Below are 6,417 nucleotides of genomic sequence, written 5' to 3'. Positions count from 1 at the left end.
GAGGTGGAGAGACAGGAACTCAGGTGAGAGATGGTGGAGAGACAGGAACTCAGGCGAGAGGTGGAGAGACAGGAACTCAGGTGAGAGATGGTGGAGAGACAGGAACTCAGGCGAGAGGTGGAGAGACAGGAACTCAGGTGAGAGATGGTGGAGAGACAGGAACTCAGGCGAGAGGTGGAGAGACAGGAACTCAGGTGAGAGATGGTGGAGAGACAGGAACTCAGGCGAGAGGTGGAGAGACAGGAACTCAGGCGAGAGGTGGAGAGACAGGAACTCAGGTGAGAGGTGGTAGAGATCATTCCCTACAGTGGCTATGGGAATAAAGACAAGTTAATGCATTTAAATAGTGAAGATGCAGAAGTGATAAAACTTGACCACTGATCGGGTTGGATGGTGAAGGAGAAGGTGAGTTAGGGATGTCCTCTGCTTCTAGCAACAAAACGGTTTAGGACAACACACCTGGCACAGGCGGAAGGTACTTGGGGTCATGGATGATGATGGGTTCGGTTTTGACCTGGTGGAATCTGCAGCATCATGGGCTGCTTGAGAGGATGGTTAGGTAGCAAGAGTGCGTGTGAGGCTGAAGCTCCTTGCAGGGATGGGGCCGAGTGTTACTGACTTGAGACTCAGCAGCCCTTAGAAGGAAGTTCAAGAGGGGCGAGAGGAGACCAGGCAGGGAGGAAGCAGGAGGCAGGGATAGAAGTTAGCCCTGGACCAACTCCCAGAGTGAGGTACGGGAAGAGGCGGGTGCTCTTGGAGGAGGCTGTGATACAGTGGGGACAATGGGCCAGTGAGGTCAGGGGGACAGCAAGCCACAGAGCGGGAGGTGGGGGGAGTCCCCCTGCTGACTCGGCAGCCCCAGAGCTGCCCGCAGAGCTGCGGGATCGAGGCCGCCATGGCCGGCTTCATCTGGCTACGGCGAGTCCGCTGGTGTGTTCCGCGATCTGAGCCTGTGCCGCTAAAGGACTCATTGAATTAGTTTAGAAAGGCTGATGAAGAAAAGCTGTGAATGCAAATTATCCATTGATTAAACATAGTTCACTGGGTAACAGAGCCCGTGGGGTGAGGAGGGGGTCAAATAACCAAGTGCCCCCTGGGAGAGGCGGCAATCTTGGGCACAGAGGGCCGGGCTTGGTGCAGGTGCCAGCTCTGCTTCTGGCTGCTGCACAAGGAGCAGTGTTAGTCAGCGTGGGCACAAGACACAGCAGCCAACTCCAACTAGCTCAAGAAGGGAAGACTTTAGTGGCTTGTGCAACTGAATGCCAGGAGGAGAATTGTGGTTGCAGGCCCATTGTGTCCGTGTGTTAGGGGTGGAAGGTGTCCGAGTTACTGGCAGCGAATCCGCACGGGTCCGCAGCAACCTCAATTCTTGCCTCCTTAGAAGAAATAATTCGAAGGAGGGGCATAAGGCAGAAAAAGACCGAGGCAAGTTTCAGAGCAGGAGTGGAAGTTTATTACAAAGCCTTAGAGCAGGAAAGAAAGTACATTCGGAAGAGATCCAAGCAGGTACCGTGAAGGTCAAGGGCGGTGTTTAACCTTGGTCCCTAGGATTTTATACGCTGGTCCACCTCCGGCGTTCTGAGCCCCTTTCCCGTGACTCTTCCCTGAGGGTGGGCTGCCCGCCTGCGCAGAACCCTCCTCACGCTTGGGAAGTGAGCGTGCGCAGTGGGCTAGAAGTGGGACGCATGCCCATCCGAGGCCTTCTTCCCTCTTCCGGTGAGTGTCCCGGGAAGGTCAGACTCCGCCATGTTGTCTCTTTGCTCACACCCAGGCTCACTTGCCCACTACCTGCGAGTTTATTGGAAGCCCTTTTTATCTGTTTGGAAAGTTGCTTCTTCCCGGTGCCTGCATTCAATTGACACTTTCGTGTGACAGCTGCAGACCTTCAGGAGATTGTCTCTGCCTAGCTTCAGCTGCATTTATCTTATCTTTTCTTTTTTTTTTGAGACCCAGTCTGGGTCTGTCGCCCAGGCTGGAGTGCAGTAGTGCTATCTCGGCTCACTGCAAGCTCCGCCTCTGGGGTTCACGCCATTTTCCTGCCTCAGCCTCCCGAGTAGCTGGGACTACAGACGCCCGCCACCACGCCCAGATAATTTTTTGTATTTTTAGTAGAGAGGGGGTTTCACCATGTTAGCCAGGATGGTCTCGATCTCCTGACCTTGTGATGTGCCCGCCTGGGCCTCCCAAAGTGCTGGGATTGCAGGCGTGAGCCACCGCACCCGGCCGGTAACGGTGAACCATCACCCTACGGTCGCCTGACATTGCTGGCAGGTGGGGGAGAGCCCTCTCCTGCCCTGCTCATGTCTGATCCCTGTAACGTGGGCTCAGACAAGGAGATCACGGGGTCTGTCTCTCGCCATCTTCTTGCCTCTACACTGACTTTGCTCTCAGCAGCCTTGCTGCGCGTTGGGGAGAGACCACCATCCAGGGCACAGCCTTGCAGGGCCCCACGCTCTTCACACCAGAAAGAAGAGGAAACTCTCTCCAAATGAGTCTTACTTGGATCTTGCTTGCGATATCCTCAGTGGCGGAAGCGGAGCCACAAACCTGTGTGGTGACGGCTCCGCATAGCATTGTAGGGGCTCCGCAAAAGGAATGATGAACAGGCACACTTTAGACACCGAATCTAATGTCCCTCAACCTCAATTCCCCAATCTGCAAAACGCACAGGGTATCTAATATTATCAGACTAAGTGCATATTAATTGAGATGCTGCATGCACAGTTCTCTCCTGGTGGCCTGCACAAAATAGGCCTTCAACAAATAACAGGTTTTTTAAAAGACTATTTTCTTTTTTTGACATGGAGTCTTGCTCTGTCACACAGGTTGGAGTGCAGTGGCACAGTCTCGGCTCACTGCAACCTCTACTTCCCAGGTTCAAGCAATTGTCCTGTCTCAGCCTCCTGGGTAGCTGGAATTATAGGCACGTGCCACCACACCCGGCTAATTTTTGTATTTTTAGTAGAGACAAGGTTTCACCATGTTGGCCAGGCTGGTCTCGAATGCCTGACCTCAGGTCATCCACCCGCCTCAGCCTCCCAAAATGCTGGGATTAGAGGCGTGAGCCACTGCGCCCGGCCAAGACTTTTTTTTTTAAGGAAAGGTTTTAGGTTCGCAGCAAAATTGAGCAGAAGGTGCAAATAATTCCCATCCACCTCCTGCCCTCACACAGGCACAGCCTCCCCGGCTATCCACATCCCCAACCAGAGGGTTACGTTTGGTACAGTCAATGAGCCTCCATTGACACATCATTCTCACCCAAGTCCCTAGTTTACATTAGGGCTCATTCTTGGTGTTTGTACATTCTATGGGTTTGGATGAGTAGATAATGGCAGGTATCTATCTTTTTAGTATTATACAGGGTGTTTTCACCACCCTAAAAATCGTCTGTGCTTTGCCGATTCATTCCTTCCCCTGAAAGCCCTGGCAACCACTTTTGACTGTCTTCATAGTTTTGCCTTTTCCAGAATGTCATACAATTGGAATCATGCAGTTTGTAGTCTTTGGGGATTGGCTTATTTCCCTTAGGAATATGCATGTAAGTTTCCTTCATGTCTCTTCATGAACTGTTAGCTCATTTCTTTTTAGTGCTGAAAAATATTTTATGGTCTGCATGAATTCCAGTTTGTAGTCTTTGGGGATTGGCTTATTTCCCTTAGGAATATGCATGTAAGTTTCCTTCATGTCTCTTCATGAACTGATAGCTCATTTCTTTTTAGTGCTGAAAAATATTTTATGGTCTGCATGTATTCCAGTTTGTTTATTCACCCATTGAAGGACATCTTGGTTACTTCTAATTTTAGGCAATTATGTACAAAGCCAGTATAAACATCCCTGTGCAGGTTTTTGTGTGGACATCAGTTTTCAACTCTTTCGGTGAATACGAAGGAGTGGGACTGCTGAATTGCATGGGAAGCGTACATTTCATTTTGTAAGAAACTCACGAGACTGCAATGAAAGGATTCCTTTCACTCTACATCCGTGTGTTGTCAGCGTTTTGGATTTGGGCTGCTTTAGAACATGTGTAAAGTGTGTCGCTGTTGAGATTTGCATTTCCCTGATGACACGTGAGGTTGAACATCTTTTCATTTGCTTATTAGCCATCTGTATATCTCCTCTAGCGAGGTACTTGTTAAGGTCTTTGGCCCATTTTTTAATCGAGGTGTTTATTTTCTTATTGTTGAGTTTTAAACGTTTTTGTACATTTTGGATAACAGTCCTTTATTAAATATGTCTCTGCAATTATTATTTTTTTCAGCCTCTGGCTTACCTTTTCATTTTCTTCACAGTGTCTTTTGCAGACCAGAAGTTTTTGAATCACGTCCAGTTTATCAATTATTTCTTTCATAAATCATGGATTTGATGTATCTAAAAGTCATTGCCAAACCCAAGGTCATCTAGGTTTTCTTCTATGTTACCTTCTAGGAGTTGTGTAGTTTTTTGCATTTTACAGTTATGTCTATGATCCACTTTGAGTTAATGTTTGTGAATGGTGTGAGATCTGTGTTTAGATTCATTCGTTGAAGGATGTTCAGTTGTTCCAGCATTGTTTACTGAAAAGATTAGCTTTGCTTCATTTTATTGCCTTTGTTCTTTTGTCAAAGACCAGTTGGCTGTATTTGTGTGGATATATTTTCAGACTCTATTCTGTCCCATTGATCTATTTGTCTCTCTCATATATATATATATATATATATATATATATATATATATATATAGCCAATACCAGAGTGTTCTTAGAGTAAGATGTAGCTTTAGAGTAAGTCTTGAAGTCAGGTAGTGTCTGTCCTCCAAGTTTGTTCTTCTCCTTCAATATTGTGTTGGCTAGTCTGGGTCTTTTGCCGCTTTTTATAACCTTTAGAATCAGTTCGTCAATATCCCCAAAATAACTTGCTGGGATTTTGATTGGGGTTGCATTAAATCTACAGATCAAGTTGGGAAGAATCTTGATAGCTTGACCATATTGAGTCTTTCTATCCAGGGACATGAAATATTTTCCTTCTTATTTAGTTTTTCTTTGATTCCTTTCATCAGAGTTTTGCGGTTTTCCTCATATAGATCTTTTGCATATTTTGTTAGATTTATTCTTAAGGTATTTCTTTTTTTTCAAGTGCTCTAATATCAATGGCATTATGTTTTTAATTTCAGATCCCCCTTGTTCATTGCTGTTATGTAGGAAAATGATTGACTTTTGGATATTATCTTGCAGTCTGCCACTTTGCTATTAATGTAATTGCTTGTTAGTTTCAGGTGTGTTTTCTGTGGTCATTTCTCTCAGATTTTCTACATAGACAATTACATCATCTGTAAACAAAGACAACTTTATTTCTTTCTTCCCATCTATATACCTTATATTTTATTTATTTGTTTATTGCATTAGCTGGGACTTTTAGTATGATGTTGCAAAGGAGTCTGGAGAGGCGACACCGTGCCTCGTTCCTGGTCTTAGTGGGAAAAGTTTTGAGTTTCTCACCAGTAAGTGTGATGTTAGCTGTAGGGTTTGTGTAGATATTCTTTATCAAGTTGAGGGAAGTTCTCATCTATCTCAGTTATCATTTTTAATAGCTGAATAAAAGGTATTACATCGAGTTCATGTTCAAAGCTGGTTAAGGCACCATCACCGTGAGGTTTCCATGCATTGCGCAGTCCAGAGTCCATGGTTATGGCCCTTCAGTTTCAGATGAAGAACAAAACCAGAGAAAGGCCCCAGAGCCACCCTGGAGTGTGGGGTGGAAAACACCAAGAGGCCTGTTTTTCCAGACCTTCTTTGAAGAGCTTCATCTTCAGGTACCAATGCAGTGGGGGTGGGTGTCAGAGGAAGGATGACTAAGTTGGGGCGCCCTCATGGCAGGGACAGCTTGGGATTGGGGACAACGCTCCTGTGTTGGCCTTCTGCATCTGGTTTAATTCTGTCCTGAGAGACATCAGCTCTGTTAGCTCCTGCCATGTCTCCAGAACCTCAGAGCTATGGATAAGTGAATGAACTTTACTACCTGATTTATGAGAAACACTTTGTGAGTGTTTTCCATTTCTTTTCTTCTTTAAAAAGGACAGCAAGAAAGAGACAAAAAAGGGAAGAAAGAGGACCTATTTCTGTCTCCTTATCTCCCTCCCACAGCCTCCTCTGCCTCCTGCCACTGTCCCTTCCCCAGTATTCCGGTGGCCCCTGGGGTCTGGCTTGCTGGTGCCACAGCTGGGAAAGATGCTGAGATTTCAGAATGTCTAGGTCTTAGTATCACATCGCAACTCTATTTCAGCATTTTCAGTGTTGATTTATAGTCAATCCTACTTAAAGAATATGTTCTAGAAATTACTTTAAGAGATTATCTAAACACGAAAACTTAGCCACCCTAGCAAGGACGTGTCCTCAGCTGAACTCTTGGTCAGCCTTAAATTATGTTTGATAATAATAATATC

Source organism: Homo sapiens, chromosome 6 (assembly GCF_000001405.40).
Source record: "Homo sapiens chromosome 6, GRCh38.p14 Primary Assembly".
Classification (NCBI taxonomy): domain Eukaryota; kingdom Metazoa; phylum Chordata; class Mammalia; order Primates; family Hominidae; genus Homo; species Homo sapiens.
This window is presented reverse-complemented; position numbering follows the sequence as displayed.